General features: G+C 44.7%; 1 protein-coding gene across 13 annotated transcripts in view, besides 3 other annotated features; it reads left to right on the top strand.

Moving 5' to 3' along the window:
• Positions 1-18074, top strand: part of RUNX1 (RUNX family transcription factor 1) — a 261502-nt gene that overhangs the window by 13227 nt on the left and 230201 nt on the right. The gene's annotated exons all lie outside the window — the stretch shown is intronic.
• Positions 8902-9404: an enhancer, noted in NCBI's record as "fragment RE1". NCBI's record gives its function as "enhances activity of the RUNX1 P2 promoter in K562 and Jurkat cells {active_cell/tissue: Jurkat | K562}" and the evidence as "EXISTENCE:reporter gene assay evidence [ECO:0000049][PMID:21445863]".
• Positions 9104-9248: an enhancer, noted in NCBI's record as "145 bp enhancer 44 fragment used in the MPRA reporter construct; PK_construct_4135". NCBI's record gives its function as "activates an SV40 promoter by MPRA in K562 cells {active_cell/tissue: K562}" and the evidence as "EXISTENCE:reporter gene assay evidence [ECO:0000049][PMID:23512712]".
• Positions 9168-9185: a transcriptional cis regulatory region, noted in NCBI's record as "GATA motif; MPRA enhancer activity is reduced when this motif is scrambled". NCBI's record gives its function as "necessary for full MPRA enhancer 44 activity {active_cell/tissue: K562}" and the evidence as "EXISTENCE:site-directed mutagenesis evidence [ECO:0005528][PMID:23512712]".

Genomic DNA, 18074 nt, shown 5'->3' with positions numbered 1-18074 from the left:
TGTCTTCCCTCAGGGATAATGGCCTCCACTGTCACCTTCAGACCCAACTTGGGTTCTTCCTGAGGAGTCCTGGCCCCCAGACCCACAGCAGCCTCTGGGGAGGCCCAGAGTTCCAACCCTTAACCCTCTCAGTTTAGGATCAAACACATCATTTACATGGAAGCAGTTGGAGTTGTTTTAAACAGCCACATCACATCTCTCTATTCCTCTTTTCAATCACAACCACGTGACCTGAAGGAGCAGAAAGCAGAGAGAGACCTGCAGTGAGCCTGGACAGCCCCCACCTGTGCCCCACATGGGTTCTGAATCTGGAGTCCGCGTCAAACGAGAGGGAGAGGGAGGAACCCTTAGTGCTGTCCCGTGTCCTCCGCACTGTTGTCGTGAACAATTCTGGCTGACCCACTAAAGTTATGAGATGATGCCGTTTCATTGTGGCTTATGAATAATGAGAACAAATAACATTCACTTGCAATGGTGTGAGGCACACTGCCTCCATTGTCTCTTTTAATCAAAACCTCACGATATAGGCACAGCTACTAATTCCCACTGGCTAAAAATAAAAAATAAAATGAAGCAAAAACCAGGTTACAAAAGCAGCCCAGGCCACACGGCTTCTAGGAGGCAGAACTCGGTTGGAGTCCAGATTCTCTTCGGCTTTCCCACTCCCATCTGGCCTCTCTGTGATGTGACAGGGTGTGGGGAGGAGAGTTTTACAGGTGCAGCCTGTGGGGTCTGAGAGCCTGTGTTCAAATGCCAGCTCTGTCCTTTCCCGCTGAGTCACCTTGAACAGGCTACTCACCCTTTCTGTTTCTCCCTTTTCCTCATCTGTACAGTGTGACGATGATGATTACCCATGCAGCTGTTGCGAGCACTGAATCAGAAATACATAGAATATGCTGCCCGATACATGGTCGCTATCATCATGGACTTTTCCTTTCCACCCTGATTTGATTTTAAATTGGACACTATTTGACTGGACTTTCCCATTTTCTTCCTTACACACTACCCAAACCAAATCTAACAAGTGAACCCCAAGTGGGTTATCCCAGTGAGTGCGCGTGGTCACTAATGCATCCTTGTACACTGGATCTGTTCACTCCTGGCAGCAAACGGCTGATGCTTGGGATGAGGTGGGGAGTATAACAGGAACAGACTCAGGCTGAGTAGGGGTCTCAGCCCTGGCTGATGTGCCATTGTACCCTGATCTTCCTCCTGTACATCTCTCGGGTAAAATGAGAGAGCTAGTGGCTGGGATTACTCAGCTCCCATGGTCAAGGTGAAAGGCATCATGGAGGCTGAGGATCTGCCCTCTGCTCACACCAGACAGGGTTTCCCGACCTCGCCACAGTTGACATTTGCAACCGAATCATTCTCTGTTGAGGGGACTGCCCTCTGTGCTGTATGTAGGCTGCTAAGCAGCATCCCTGGCCCACACCCACTAGACACTAGTGACAACCCTTCCCTCCTCATGTTGCCACAACCAAATGTATCTCCAGACATTGCCAGATGACCCCTGAGGGGTAAAATCTGGAATGTTTTTTGGAGAACCACAGCTCCAGAAAGACCTTAGGAACCGAGGTACTGTTGCTGCTTCCCACAAAGAAATAAAATGATGTGGCGGGTTTGACCCTCTTTAGCATGTTTGCCTCCCACACACCTAATTTGACCTCTACCCCACCCCAGCCTACTAATGCTGGCTACAGATGTCCACAAAAACTGACAGTCAGTGTGCAAGGGCATGAAATTAAGACCATCAGCCATGTCCCCGACGTGAAGAGCAGAGAAGAAAAGGCAGCCATGACTCTGGCCTGCTGGCGCAACAAAGGCTTGCCATCTCTGTTATCTACACAGTGGAGACAATTACTCTCCCTAATTTTACAGATTGATGACTGGGCTATAGAGTGGCCAAATATTTCATCCAAGGTCACACAGCTGGGAAATGGCAGGGCTGCACTCAATCCTAGTCTGGTTTTGAAGTCTGGGTGCCTGACGAATAAGCTGTGCATTTTTCAAGAGAAGGCCTTCTAGAGAGGGTGTGACTTTGGTACTCTTGTCCTGTGAAATAAACTTAAAATAAGTTATCTTCGTGTCTAGTTATAGATGACATAGGAAGTAGGATAATGATTTGGTAATCAAAGAGCCCTTAACTCTTTTAAAATTATTGGAAGTAATAATAATGCTGTAATTCTGAGTCCTCCCAGTGCCTGATTTTGAATAACTCATTTTCCTTCTCTTTTCCTAGTGGGGATCATCAGTATTTCTTTGAAGACTTTAAAAATCTAGGAGGAAAGTAACCTAAAAGACAAGATAATGATAGATTTCAAGGACCTATAGATAATACATTTAGTCAAAAGTTTCAGAAATCCCAATGCATATTTAGTTTCATTTTTCTATGTGTTATTTTCAAATCCTCTCTGGGAGGTCACTTCTCCATGCTTATTTGAACAACTTGAATTTCTCCCGAAATTTCTGGTAGTAGTCATTAAAGGCACCTGACAGGGCTGTTGTTCAGCAAGAGAAGTCATTGCACAGGTTATGAGAGTTGGGACATGTGTCTGCATGAGGTGTTAGAGGGACAGAGAACAGGAATCCCACATCCCCATCACAGACATGGATGGACACACTCCATCTGCGTTTGCTCCCTGAAGCAGTAATACTTCCAGGCTGACACTCTGATGACCATGTCTTCTAGGATGCTCATTGGTAGCTCGTGCAAAGGATCACATTCTTCTTCTTGCTCTGGTTTATTTGCTCTTACCAAAACATAATTCCAGCTTTTCTGTTTATGAGTGTGTTCTTTCAGAGACTCTGAGCAATTTGAGAGATGGCTCATATGTCACTTACCTCTCCAAAAACAGAAACTGGCAGAATTTGGGCACTCAAGAAATGTTGGATGGATAGATGAATAGGCAAATGCATGGATGGACAGATAGTTGAATGAATGAATGAATGAGCCAGCAGATGGACAGATGGACAAATTGATGGATAGATAGAAGGATGAATGGAAATGAATGGATGGATAGGCAGGTAGATGGATAGATAGTTGAATGAATGGATAGATGGATGGATGAATGATAGAGGGATGGATGGATAGATGGATGGATAGACAGATAGATGGACCAATGGATGGAGGGAGCTTCACCAGTCCTGTGCTTATGGCTTAAGTGTAAAAACATCAGTGGATGTAAGCAGAAGAGGCCACACTGATCTCCTCTCACATACAACCACAGCAGGAAGTAAGTAACTGGGATTTCCACCCAAACTTGGTTCCCCTTAATTCCTGTGATCAGCTAAGGGTAAGAAGCTGTATGTGGGAATATTAGAGCAGAGAGGAGCAGGCAACATGGAGGTGGTTCCAATTCTGTCCAGAGGTGCCAGGCTGGAAGTCATGTAGGTGTCCCTTGTGGGAAGCTGGACAAGTGTGCAAGGAGAAGCATGTGAGAAACACCACAGTCAAGGGACATCTTACTGCCCATGAGCTGATTGGCTCAGGCTTTAAATTGAATACCTGTGTAGAAAACAAATGTCTATGACCAAGAGGATTCATAGTCACGGGACTGATCATAAAGTCTGGTCCGTTTCCCATTGGGTTATTTACAGGACATCAATCAAAGAACAGAAAGGATGCCCTCTTTTCCACTTTATCAGCTTAAATAGACTTTCTTAATGGAAAAACTCAACTCTTATTTTTCCTCTTCAAAAAAGGTAACTAGTGGGATAACAGAAGAGGTTTGCTAAATAACTTAGAGTAGATTCCATTCAGTTCTAAGTCCACCTATTTCAGCGACACTTCAGGAAGGTCAGTAAGGGCAAGGATTGTCCCACTTATCCAGCCCATTATTCTCAGTACTCTTTCTCCATATCTTTCTATTTAGGGGAAAATCTCCTTCAGTGAAATGTTGAGAGGTGATATGACATATGTGTGTTCCTTTTCCATTTCAAGGCTTGTGGCATGTGTCAAACAATCTGTAGGAGCTGGTGCTCCTGATCACCCCTGATCATTCCCCAAAAGCCCCTCTGTACCCAAATGCTTCTCAGCCAGGCTTGGCCTGCAGTCACTTAGAAGCACCCATCTGTGCCCATAGCCACATCCACATCTAAGACAGATTCCATCTGTGTTGAGGTTCATTCTTTGTTCCATTCAGGAATGTTCCTTAGTGGATCCTCCACCAAAATAAATAACTTCTTTTTAAAAAATATTTCCATAGACAGATAACAATGGTAGGTACCTTTAATGTACAGTCTTTTTAGATTTAACTTTTTAGGATTCCACATATACATAAGATGATGCAGTGTTTGTTCTTCTATGCCTGCCTTATTTTATTTAGTGTAATGTACTCCAAGTTCATCCATGTTGCTGCAAATGACAGGGTTTCTATCTTTTTTAAGGCTTAATAGTACTCCATTGTGTATATATTCATCACAGTTTCTTTATTCATTCATCTGTCGATGGACACTTAGGCTGATTCTTTATCTTGGTTATTATGAATAGTACCACTATGAACATGACAGTGCAGATATCTCTTCGACATACTGACTTCATTTCCTTTGGATATATACCAAAAAATCAAGAAATAAGATTTCTGGATCATAGGGTAGTCTATTTTTAATTTTGGGGGGAACCTCCATACAGTTTTCCATAATGGCTTCCCACCAAGAGTGTGCAAGAGCTCCCTTTCTCCACAACCTCACCAATACTTGTTATCTCTTGATTTTTCTATTTTTTTGAGACGGAGTTTCGTTCTTGTTGCCCAGGCTGGAGTGCAGTGGCACGATCTCGGCTCACCGCAACGTCTGCCTCTTAGGTTCAAGCAATTCTCTTGCCTCAGCCTCCCGAGTAGCTGGGATTACAGGTGTGCGCCACCATGCCCAGCTAATTTTGTATTTTTAGTAGAGACAGGGTCTCTCCATGTTGGTCAGGCTGGTCTCGAACTCCTGACCTCAGGTGATCTGCCTGCCATGGCCACCCAAAGTGCTGGGATTACAGGCGTGAGCCACCGCACCCGGCCATCTCTTAACTTTTTGATAAAAGCTTTCCTACCAGGTGTGAGGTGATAGCTCACTGTGGTTTTAATTTGCATGATGAGGAGTGATGTTGAGTATTTTTTATACTTACTGGACATGTGTGTACCTTTTTCTGAGAAATGTTTTTTTCAGGTCCTTTGCCCAGTTTTTAAATCACATTATTTATTTCCTTGCTATTGAGTTGTTTGAGTTCTTTATGTAGTTTGGAAATTAATACCTTATCAAATGCTATGATTTGCCAGTATTCTTTCCCTTTCTGTAGGTTTTGTCTTTATTCTGTTGAATGTTTCCTTTTCTGTGCAAAAGCTTTTTATTTTGAAGCCATCCTAGTTGTCTACTGTTGCTTTTGTTGCGTATGCTTTGAGATCATATTCAAAAAAATCTTTGCCCAGACCAATGGCAAGAAGCCTCTCCCCTGTGTTTTCTTCCAGTAGTTTTATAGTTTCAGGTTTTAGGTTTAAGTCTTTAATCCATTTTGAGCCGATCTAATGCCCTCTTATCTTTGCAATTTTTATACTTTTCTTTAACATTTTATCTCCTGGTTTCATTTCCCATGGGTCTATTTAGTCAATCTCCTTTTTCATTTATTTAGACCATATTTATTGATCTTGCCAGTTTAGTTTTTCCTCATTACTTTTCTCTTCTTCTCCATGCTTGTCACCTTAAAATATCTTACACCAGTGGTTTTTTTATTTTTTATTTTTTTTTGAGACAGAGTCTCACTCTGTCACTCAGGCTGGAGTGCAGTGGCACGATCTCGACTCACTGCAAGCTCTGCCTCCCAGGTTCACGCCATCCTCCTGCCTCAGCCTCCTGAGTGGCTGGGATTACAGGTGCACACCGCCATGCCCGGCTAATTTTTTGTATTTTTAGTAGAGACATGGTTTCACCGTGTTAGCCAGGATAGTCTCGATCTCCTAACCTCGTGATCCACCCGCCTTGGCCTCCCAAAGTGCTTGGATTACAGGCGTGAGCCACCGCACCCGGCCTCACCAGTGGTTTTTACCTGGAAGAAGGAGGCAGTGTGAGGAGGAAGGGGGTCATTTGGCACTGTCTGGAGACATTTCTAGTTGTCACAACTCAAGGGATAGAGGGGACTGTACTAACATCCAGTAGGCAGATGCCAAAGATGCTACCAAACAGCCCACAATGCGCAGAACAGAAATGTGATCGTGACAAGGTTGACAAATCCAACCTCGTACTATTACCAGGATCGTGGTTGTAGGACTTGCCAGAGTCCTAGAAGCAGAGTTGGGGGCACCACTGAAGTGGTGAGGAGGGTGCCAGGTGACCAATAGAACCATGCCAGAAGCCCAAGACGGAAGAAATTCCTACAGAGGTCAAAAGATCCCCTTAAGAGAGAAGCTAAGCACTAGGACCAGCAAGCTGGACCAGGAAGAGCAGTAGGCCTGTGATTGGGATGGTAGTGAAGGTGCCTGAGGCAAGGAATGGCTAGGAACACTAGGAAGCATTTCTCCAGAAAGATACCTCGCCAAGGGCTGGGGCCCTGTAGGTTGCCAGCACCAACCGTGTTCCAGGCTCTCTCAGGTGGTCTCCATAACTACCCCACTCACCTGCCCAATGCCTTAGAAGCCAACATTGTTATGCTGGCTCTGTTAATGAAAACACTGAGGCTCAGAGTTTAGATAACAAAAATTTTGAAGCTCAGAAAGGCTAAAGAAGAAAACCAAGGTGACACGGCCAATGATGCTAGCTGTGTTAGGATCAGAACTGAGGTGTATTGGCTGCTTTCCACTAAACCATGTTAAGCTAACTTACTAGTATACTACTGTTCTTTCAGTCTGCTTCATTATATGTAATACACTTGAAATTTCCTTTAACTTGAGCTTGGAGTTGGGCATTTGAGTTGACAACCCATCAGGCAGAAAGGAAGAAGGGAAGCCAGCCAGAGTGGAAGAGATGGTGGAGCAGAGATGGTGGAGAGAGGCCACCAAGAGCTCCATCACTAGGCAGTGAGTGTGAAGGGCAAGCATCCATCGTTTGGCTCATAGGTTTGGTGACCTTGATTTCAAGTGGAAAATTAACTATATTAAACAAAAAGGAACCCCTCTCCAATTCACACTGCAGACAGATGAGCTAGGGGTCTACACTCCCTTTTTCCCACTTCCTCTGTGTCTTTGATGACTGTATAACCAGATTCTCATGACACTCTCACCACTACCCCATTTCTCTTCCCAGCTTCTTCTGATCCTAGACCCATAGAGAGTGTCCCTGCTTAATAACACTCTGTAAAACATGTTGGTGATAGATAAGCCATCGGTAAATTTACTGAATGATCCATGTGGACATGACACTGCGTTAGAAAGTAGTCTTGAACATAAAGATTATATAGCATGAAATGGCTTCAGAGAACTTACTGTCTGGTCAGGGAGGCAAAGCCTAAGCATGAGAAATATTCAGTCAACAAAATGAGAATCGAGTGGCCTATCATTAATACCACAGCAGTGGCAGACCAGGAAAGTAACTGCTTGCTGAGTGGGAAGCCATGATCTGAAGAGAGTTCGGAGAGGAAGATGGAAGTCATTTTATTCCAGGGCTGGGGAAAGACAGAGGAGAAGAAATGAATGAGGCAGCCAGGTGGCTCCAGGAGTGCTCAGAGGGCAGTGAGGAAGTCACTGAGGCTCGCCTGTGAACAGCAAAATTGAAGCCAGGTCTTTGAATGCTGCAGTGAGAAGGTTGAACTTAAACCTGCAGACCAGGGACTCCTAAACTTGGCAGTACATAAGAATCCTCAAAGCGTTTGTTAAAATGCAGGTTCCCGGCACCCACCCTGAGAAACCATGATGAGTGAGGCAGAGAGGCCCAAGAATCTGCATCTTAATAGCCCTGTAGTCCCAGCCATACTTTAAGAACCTTTCTGTAACAGGAAGTCTTTGACTGGTTTTGATGAAGTCTAAATGAAATCTTCAGGAAACTTCAGGCCTAAGCAAAACTGAGCAGAACCTATTTTTACAGCTGACAACTGGCACTGCCTCTGGAGGGACCTCTATGTTCTAGCTGCTGTCTGGAGATTTTATTCATATACCATGGATTTCTTAGTCTAGTCTCTCAGTTCTCAGATACTACTACTAATTAAACATGACTCAGAAACATGCATTTTTAAATGTAGGCCACAAGATCCTAAAGCCAGTCTGAGATAACATTGGATCTAGAATATTCAAATATGGGCTCCAAATTCTGTACCATTACACAAAACCATTCAACTTCTGAAAAATGTGGACACGTGTGAGTTCTACCTGCAAGATGCAAATGTTTCATTGATAGGAAAGAACCTGTGGTTGGGCTGGGGTTTGTGTGTGTGTGTTTATATTTATTTGCCACATCCCACCCTTCCTCCCCCATCTCTTGGCTCAGAACCTAACTTCAACTCTCCCGAATCCCCAAGGCCACTCCCAACTAGGATTTTTTAAATACCTTAACCATTTCAAACTTTCCTTCCCTTTGGAACCTAAAGGAATTTCATTTTCCATTTTCCATTAGCAAGGTGGCTCCAGTTAAACCAGGGCCTCAGGAATAAATACAGCTTGGTTTAAATATTTGCACATCTATTAGGTTTTACTCTAAAGCAGACTGTCCCGACGACGCCTTGCTATTCACAGTGTGGTCTTTGGACTGGCAGCATCACTACCACCTGGGAACTTGTTAGAAGTGCAGAATCTGAGGCCTCAGCCCAGACCTGCTGAATCATCGTCCCCATTTGCTCAAGAGCCCCGTGATTGGCCTGATTTTCATGCACATAAAAGTTTAAGGAGCCCTGCCTAAATCTCCCGCCTCCAAGCTGTCCCCGAAATGTTGGCCTCTCTGCCTCTGGACGCTTGCAGAGATGGGGTAGTGGAATCAGTTTCATGTGGGGGTAGGGTGCGGGCTTCACCCCCTCCCTTCGCCCCCTGCCCCTCCACCCTGCCCTTCTTGATGCTCTCCCAGCGGCTGCACCTGCAGAGTTTTCACTTCTCTGGGAAGCCTCTTGACACAGACCCCGTCCTTGCCTCTAGGGTGGGGCCGCTCTACTTCTTTTCTTTCAAAGAGCCTGGGATGCTGACAGCCTCAGATGGAGGCATCCTGTTTGTCGAAAAATAAACCGGCAGTTAAAGCAGGGTTGCGAGAGCGAGAAAACCACAGGCCTGCGCGCCGCTGATAACGCGCGGGCAGGCAGCTTTTGCAGAAGTTCCGTCGCTGCGGCGCGCTGCGCACCAGAGCTGCGCCACCGCCTCCCTTCCTGTCTGGGCCGCTCGCGTCCCCGCCGTTTCTGGCTGTTGCTTTCTGCGTCGCTCTTTCAGTTACTTCGCCCATTGCTTTTTCTAAAGGATCCCCTTGCTGCTCCGCCATGAGGGATGGATCCACCAACAAGTCCCCGGGCGGATGCGCGCAGATCCTGGACCCATAGGAGGCCAAAATTTACGAGCTGTCATGAAAATGACACCGTTTAAGAGAAGCTGAAGTTGCTTTCTCTTCTGCAGTATGTAATGCTTTGACCTGGTTAAAATAAATAAATAAATAACAATTTAAAAAGAAAGAAAGAAATACAGAAAGACTACATCCTCATGAGGCCTGTAATGCCAAAATGAAAAGGGACCCCAAAGTGCAATATCCAGATTGCTTTTCTTCTTGGAGAGAGTTGACCTGGCCTGATTCTATGCGGTGAATAACTAATTATCAATCTTCCCCTTTTGAGGGGTATTAAAGCCTCTTTCCCCATTTGCCTGTTATCAGATAAGCTAGGCAGATGAGAAGTCAGTGGGTAACCACAGGTATAACCACGATATTCACTGGAAACCAAAAGATTTGACCCCCCGAGGTAAAGAATGTACTTGAAAATAAACCTGAAAATAGTTTTACAGGAGCTGAAAAACTCAGTGTTCCCGAATCAGTAATACGAACTTCTCTGAGCATTAAAAAGTACAAGCACTCCTAAAAAGGACATCTTGAGTCACAGAAGATGATGCCTGTTGGGGTTGATTGAGTCCCTTTGGAAGAGACCCCTGTGCCACGGTGCACCAGAAAGTCTCCATCATTGTTGGGGCCTCTGCAGTTGTTCCAGCTACCCAGTGCTTTTTTATTATTCTTCTTGTCCGAAAACATAGAGTAGAAACAGTCCATACTCATTCCTTAATCTTCCTGTGTTCATAACGAGCAAGCACCCTAGATGAGTAAGAATCTACCTTATTTTTAAGAATTAGCAGAGAACCATATGAGTTTCCCTTTTCCTCCCCTAGAAACGTCCTCAGGTTGGCTAACTTTCCTATTGAGCAATTCCTCACAGCAATCACTCCGCACACCTCTCATCTGAGAGGCTGTCTTCCCATTCCTATGAGCTTTTCTTCCTCTGTCTCATGGCCTCACTCCTAATTATTCATGTTCTCCTGCTGAAGGCCCCTTGACCTAAATATAGAGACCCGTATATTTTGGCTACTCATGTATAGACCCTAATAATGAATAACTCAACTTTATGGTGACATAAAGGAGGAAAACTCAGGCCAAAGAATGTTTAATTCTTAGGGAAGAAGGAGAGAGCTGGCCAGGGATAGCGTGTGCTGGGTGTTAATAGCCACGTGCATAGCCTGTTGGGGAACTTGGCTCTCTCTTGAATCTGGTGCAGGGCATCGGAACGTCTGGGGGAGGAGCAGATAGGATGCTGCTCAGGTTGAACAGGGCTGGACCATGAGAGCTTTGAATGCACTCAAGAAGGAACTTTCTTCAGTGGGCCGGGGCCAGGCCAGATTGATGAATGATCGATTCCTATTATTTACCTTGAGGTCCTCATGGAGATATTTTAAATGGACTTCTTTCTCATTTATAAACTGTCATAAACAAATGACTAAAAGATGTCTAAGTGGTGACTAGAAAATAATAAACCTCATTTTAGCCATATATTTCAGAATTTACACATCTGTTATTGTAGTGTCCTTCAAAGTCATCCCCTGGGAGGGAGAGGGAGCACCATTCTAACAGCACCATTATTACTTTAAACATCTTCGGATCTGCTTTTTTGAAATGACTTTCAGAGTTAGTTTATTGGCTAAACAAGTAAATCCTCCTTACTTTTAAATCACACCTCATTTTTGAACAAGACAGGTATTGTCAAGCTTCCTTGGTCACCTTATTTGTCACCAGTCTTGATCTTAAATGCCTTCTGGCTGTTTCTAAAAATCAGACCCATCACTTATATTCCAGACATTGAGGCTATTCTAAAGCATATGCACCATTGTATGAATTCTAACTGGATGCTGAGAATTTCATCATCACTAGAAAAGAATGTCAAGTTGCAAAGTGACTAGGATGGAAGAGGCAGTATTAGCTACAACATCTTAGGTGTATGTTTAAAAAGTAATCTCCAAATTAGTCACACCTAGTTAAAAAGAAAATAAAAGCCTGGTGCTGTCATACTGTAGTACTTTCAGGGCAGGAACCTAACTATATAACTGATCCTCACTTTCTGAGAAGTTAAAAGGATGGGATGCAGAAAGTGAGTTAAAAGTCAGTTCTAAGTCTTTTGAAGAATGCCCAGAGGTCTACTTTTACCACAGACATGCTCTGATTACTAATAGCACACACATAAAGACATTGTGTTGTATTAGGGTATTGGTTAGGTTGCTATGAGAGAGAGATTCCAAATTATCAGGGCTTAAACAAGATAGAAGTGTGTTTCTCTCTCTTGTAGAAGTCTCAGTAGATTGGCATGGCATCTTCACAATCACAAAGAACCAGGTTTCTGCTACCCTGATGGGCTGCCTTCTGCAATGCCTGGCATTTACCTCATGGCTCAAAATGGGTGCTCCAGCCCCCAACATCACATCCACATTCCAGCCAGCAGCAAGAGAGAATATGGAAGGGGAAGATCTACTCTTTCCCTTGAAGAGCAGGATCTGAAATTTGCCCAGACACTCCTGCTGACAAATCATTGACCAGAACGTAAACAAACATATGGAGGCACCTAGCTGTAAAGTAGGCTGGGAAATACAGTCTTTTGCTGTGCAGATATGTGCCAGGCTAAATATTTATTTGTTTATTGATTTGTATTTATTTAATATGTTGATATATATTTATAATTAGTATATAGTATATATGTAAACTATATAAATATAGTAAAATATATAATAATTTAATACACACATATATAATAAAATATATTTCACCTAATATTTAATTTATGTGTTTATTATTTTTACAAAAGAAGTCTGTGACACCATAAAACTGGTACCCACAGATGCTCTCCTTATTCTCACTTCCACCCATCCTCAATTGTGTACCCACTTGTGAGCCGTCACTCCTGTAAATCAGGCAATGTTGACTGGATTCCTGTGCCCCCCTTTCATTTCCCACCCTCAGGCTCCAGTCCTGTCTTTATCCAGATGCATTCACAGCTGGAGACTAGCCAGGAGAGAAAGCAAACCATTGGCCTCAATGAGGCAGGGCTGGAGACCAAAGTGCAGGGAAGCCCTACTCTGCCCTGCTAGCCCCGCAGGTCAACTTGAACCACCTGAGTGCCTCTGGCCTCCCGGCTAGGGAGGAGACAGTCATCCACAGTCCAGCCCCCTGCCATGAGCTGCAGCCTCAGTCTGATCCACCCACCCACCTGGGACAGGGAGAGAGTGACAGAGGAGAAGGGAAATGCTTGCAGGTGAAAATCTGCCTGCTTTTCCTACAGCAATGACATATGGGCTTCGAGTAGTTTCTGTTTGCATCATCTCACAAGACTTGATTGTTAATTTTCCGGAGTTTTGCAGGCTGGCAGTTAAACAAAGACATCATGCAAAATTAAATTATGCAAACTTAAGAGTTAAACAAAGGCCAGGTGTGGTGGCTCACACCTGTAATCCCAGCACTTTGGGAGGCCAAGGTGGGCTGGTCACTTGAGCCCAGGAGTTTGAGACCAGACTGGGCAACATGGCAAAACCCTGTCTCTACAAAAAAGTACAAAAATTTTCCAGGAATGGTGGCATACACCTGTAGTCCTAGCTACTGAAGAGGCTGAGGCTGAAAGATCACTGGCCCTGGAGACTGAGGCTGCAGTGAGCCGTAATCATGCTACTGTACTCCAGCCTGGGCAACAGAGCAAGACCTTGTCTCAAAAAAAAAAAGGTCAAAATCACTAAAAAATAATCTCCGCCTTATTATTATTATTATTATTATTATTCAAACAGAGTATCATTCATGTTGCCCAGACTGGAGTGCACTGGCGCGATCTCGGCTCACTGCAACCTCCACCTCCTGGGTTCAAGCAATTCTCCTGCCTCAGCTTCCTGAGTAGCCGGGATTACGGGCACCCGCCACCACACCCCACTAGCTTTTGTACTTTTAGTAGAGATGGGATCTCACCATGTTGGCTGGGCTGGTCTCGAATTCCTGACCTCAGATGATCCGCCCGCCTCAGCCTCCCAAAGTGCTGGGATTACAGGCCTGAGCTACAGCGCCCAGCCTCTGCCTTATTATTTTATTGCAGTTTACAAAGATCTATATGCACTTGTTTCTTATCTCTAAATGGTGGAAATGCTCTAACATAGAGTGTTGCTGTGAGAGGAACTATAGTGATCAGCAGTGATTGCTGAAATCTGCACATGTTATAAGTCAAAGCTGTTTATCCTGAAGAGCTGGTTGTTAAATGTTCCCCAGCTCCTGCTGGTTTAGGGATAGGAGATTACTGATACCAGACACCCTTCAGGCACTCCTGCGGGGCGCAGGCTAGAAAACCAGCGGACTCCATCAAGAGTAAGACCGAGAAGGAACCTCTCTTTACCACCCAGCCTATCTCTCAACATGCCCTTGCCTGCACACACCTGGTGCAGACGCTTCCACCCTCTTTCGTCTGTTCAAAGGTAAGCCACATTCCTTTGCCCGGTGCTGCTGGTAAACCACGGAACCGCCAATCAGCTCCTTCAAGACTATTGTCTACACCCGCTCTCAGCTACATGTTAGCCCGTGTTCAGTCTGGAGGGGACAATGATCCCCAGCAAACTGCTTCTGAAGCTGGAGTTGACTGTTTCACAATATAAACACATGTATTTCACATTGATATGTGTCTTGGGGATCATTCTCGCCTGCTCCTGGAGTTCTTGCCAGCCTCTTAAATGGGAACTCCTACCCTTTTGGAAGCATTGAGAGAAGAGCTCTGAGCTTCTATCTGCCTCTGCCTTCTTCCGCCTTATGAGAGGAGAGGCACATCCAATGGGAGAGATTGAGAGAGGCCTTCTGGGGACAGCCTGCCTGATATGGTGCATTCTCCTCTGCCTCTGTCTCCCTGGATGAGGCCTGAGGCAGGGCCCGCTCCCACCCCAGCTATGTCCTGATCTCAGGGCTCAGCAGAGATGAGGTCAGCGCAGGCCCCTGTGGCTGGCTGGGTAGGTCCCTGCAGGTACTTCTCATGCTCTGGAAGAAACCCCAGATGGGCTCTTTCTCCAACTCAACTCTACAAGCAAAATGCTGGTATTTACTTCTTCATTTGATTTCAGGGGTTTATTTCTCAGTTGCTTCAGAGCTTGACATGGGGAAGATAGTAATGTTTAGCTCAGTGTATTTATATATTATGTGTATGTGCACACGCATAGTGCTCATAGTGTATTTAAGTGACTATGTTTGGAGCTTCTATCATTATTGCTTATTCCACAAATAGCACACAGAAACATTTTCCCTGATAGAGAAAAAAATCAGCACCTAGAAAGTTAAGACCATTTATTTAGTTAGTTCATAAACACTTAGACAGTGCTCGCTCGCTATGTGCCAGGAATTGTTCTAGGTGCTTTGCAGATAATAACTCATGTAATCCTCAGAACAATCTTTACATAGTAGATACAGCTATTCACCCCATTTTGCGGATGGGAAACTGAGAAACAGATTGGTGTGCAGGGTTACAGGGCCTGACTCAGACTGACTCAGACTTTCTGGCTCCATGGTTCAATTTTACTTTGCCAGTCATGGGGAATGAGCATACTCCAAAACCTAGGGACAGAGTATCCCTGGTGGACACTGCCAAGATGGAATTTTCTCTTGAGAAAAGACTAAAGCTAAACATGTTATTGTCTCCCCAAAGTCATTACCCAAGTGCCTCAGCCAGCCAGCCTGAAGGTAAGTGGAGATGATGGGAAGCCCCAGATTCTTTGTGGGGACCTCATTCCCCTTCTCAAAGCTACTGACAAGGACTTAGGTCAGAACGTTCCATAAGTCCCCATAGAAGCAAAGTGTACTTTTAAAGGTTGTAAATACATTTTATAAATGAGACACTATTTAAAGGCATTAAACAAGCAACAGACTTCATTTATTTAGTTATTTGGGGGTTTTCTAATCAAGATTCTCACTTGCACATCAGCCTAGACCACAGAGAATCAGTCCTGGCTTAAATCTAAAACTGAGATGGATGATGGGGCAAGAGGAGGAAGTCGATGCAGCAGCCAGGTGACGTTGGCAGCTTCCTCTTCCCCATCCTCGAGGGGACAGTGACTAAGAGAGTACCTGGACCAATGTTTGTGGGTGCTCATGGAAATTCCTTTGCATAAGCCAAACTCTTTCGGGTCTCATTGCCTTCTACTTTATCCTCCCAGATCTCACCTCTGCTTGCTTTGCCTTCTCAATAAAAAGCCTTAGGAACATCCCCAAAGGCCTCAGACATTAGAACTAATTACATCTGTCTTCAGGAGCCACTTTCTCCATGAGGGTGATCAAACCCAAACACAGAAGCACTGTGTTTTCTACCCGTGGGTCACAGCAGCCCAGGATTCATCTCTGCTCCATTAAAAGCATGATGCTATGATGAAAAATGCTCAAGGGATCATTCTTTTGTTTATTACCAGGTCCTCTGGAAAGTAAGGTCGGGGAGGAACTAATGAAAACTTTCTATAGAGAAGGGGAACAGTTGTGCTATTTTGGTTAAAAAAAAAATCTAATTGCAACTCTTAAAGATTTAGAAAATAATACTTTTTCAGTTTTTTTATTGCTATATATACAGTATTAAATCATTTTGACTTGTTTTGCTGTTTTCCATATTTGAAATATCTGGAATTGGGAAACCCTAAGACCCAAGATGAATCCTGGTCCGCCTAAGACTATGTAAACAGCCCATTATCTGCTTCCCCGATACCAAGTTTGTCATGAAATTGACAGCTTCCTGATAAGGGCTTTCTATTTCTATAACCAAGCAGCCCTTCGCTAGAATCTTCTGGGGTCAGGAGAAAGTTGAAGCCGCGTGCACTGATCAGTGCACGATTTTCCCAGTGAGTAGCTGTGTGCAAAGGGCAATGCTAATTGTCCCCTTGTTCTGGCGATGGACTTGGCTTCGGCAGGTTTGGGTTTATGATTAACTAGGCAGAAGGCTGATTGTGGTTGTCGATCCCTTCCCTGGAAGGTTGTTTGCATAGGTCTTATTCAGCTTTCTGGGGGGTGTGGGTGTGATCCTGTGTGAGGTGCAGAGGCTCAAGGGCTCAAGGAGGTTTGCCACATTTTCTTGCTGTGATTCCAGAATGCTTTGTCCGAATATAGATAATCATTGAATTATTTTAATTTTTTCAGCATTAGCATTTTCTATGAGGTTGTTGCTAACTTGCTCAGTGCACTGGCAGTATTATGCCAGGCCTCTTACAGACATAAAAGAAAGCTATGTATCTTTGTCTCCCAGCAGTTTGAGGACAGAAGACATATACCTGTGGAATAGGTGGGGAGAATCTTAAACTGCACAGGACTAAGCAGGGCATGCAGTAATACCATAGCCATTCAGACGACTGGAAGGCTAGAAGGTGTCTCGAGCCATTACAGAGGACTCAGGTCAACTTAGGATTTTGCTGTTAAAGGAGAACAGGGAAAGGTATCCAGGAGAAGAAAGCAGCACCTGCAAGGCAGGAAGTGCCAGGTGTGGTTGAGGACGATGAGTGGATCACTTCAAATGAAGGGGATGCAGTGTTAGAAGGTAATGATGGGATGGTTGACCAGTTCAGGTTAGCCCAGGCCAATCTAAGCCAGATGGTAAGACTTCCTCCTGAAGGCAGTAGAGACCTATGGAGACTTTTGAGCTGAAAGTGTGGTGAAATTATTCCCTGTTTCCCTTCAACCCCCAAAGAAAACCAAGCTGCCTTTGTTCGAACAACTAACGTTGGCTGAGGGTGCTTGGAGAGTCAGCCCCAAGCTAAGTCTTAGGCCTCCAAAAAGATTAAGATAATCCCTATTCCTGAGGGGTTCCTGATCTCATGCAGGTTCACTGCAGATCGTTGGGCAGGTTGGACACTGTACAAAGGCACCCCACTGAGGGGGACTGTGGGAGGTGAAATCCAGCCTTGGCTCTGCTTGCCAAATCAAGGGTCCCAGGGTGAGGTGTGACTGCGTAGAGGAAGGGGCACCTTTTTCAAACAAAAGGATCATCCACTCACCAAGCTGTGTTCCTGAGGGGCTGCGTATGTCCAGAGTGCCTTATTTAATTCCCCCAAGTTAAGTGATAATTCAAACGATATCAGATCACACTAAGAAATCAAATTACTTGGGCCTACAGAGGAAAGATTTCTTATGAAAGGTTTGTAAGATATATGCATTCGTCCGCTCAGGCTGCAAAGTACCACCGACTGGAGGACTCAAGCAACAGAAATTTATTTTCTCCCAATTCTGGAGACTGGAAGTCTGGGATCAAAGTGTTGGCAGGGTTGGTTCCTTCTGACAGCCATGAGGGAAGGATCTGTTCCAGGTTCACCTTTTGAGATACTAGGGGCTGGGCCTTGGAAATATGAATTTGGGGCCAGGCGCAGTGACTTATGCCTATAATCCCAGCACTTTGGGAGGCCGAGACAGGCAGATCACTTGAGGTGAGGAGTTTGAGACCAGTCTGGCCAACATGATGAAACCCTAAAAATACTAAAAATGCAAAAATTATCTGGACATGGTGGCATGTGCCTGTAGTCCCAGCTACTCCAGAGGCTGAGGCAGGAGAATGGCGTGAACCAGGGAGGTGGAGGTTGACGTGAGCCAAGATTGCACCAGTGCACTCCAGCCTGGGTAACAGAGTGAGACTCCATCTCAAAAAACAAACAAACAAACAAAAACAGGAAATATAAATTTTG

The sequence above is a fragment of the Homo sapiens genome, chromosome 21 (genome assembly GCF_000001405.40).
Source record: "Homo sapiens chromosome 21, GRCh38.p14 Primary Assembly".
In the NCBI taxonomy this organism is placed as follows: domain Eukaryota; kingdom Metazoa; phylum Chordata; class Mammalia; order Primates; family Hominidae; genus Homo; species Homo sapiens.
This window is presented reverse-complemented; position numbering and strand designations above follow the sequence as displayed.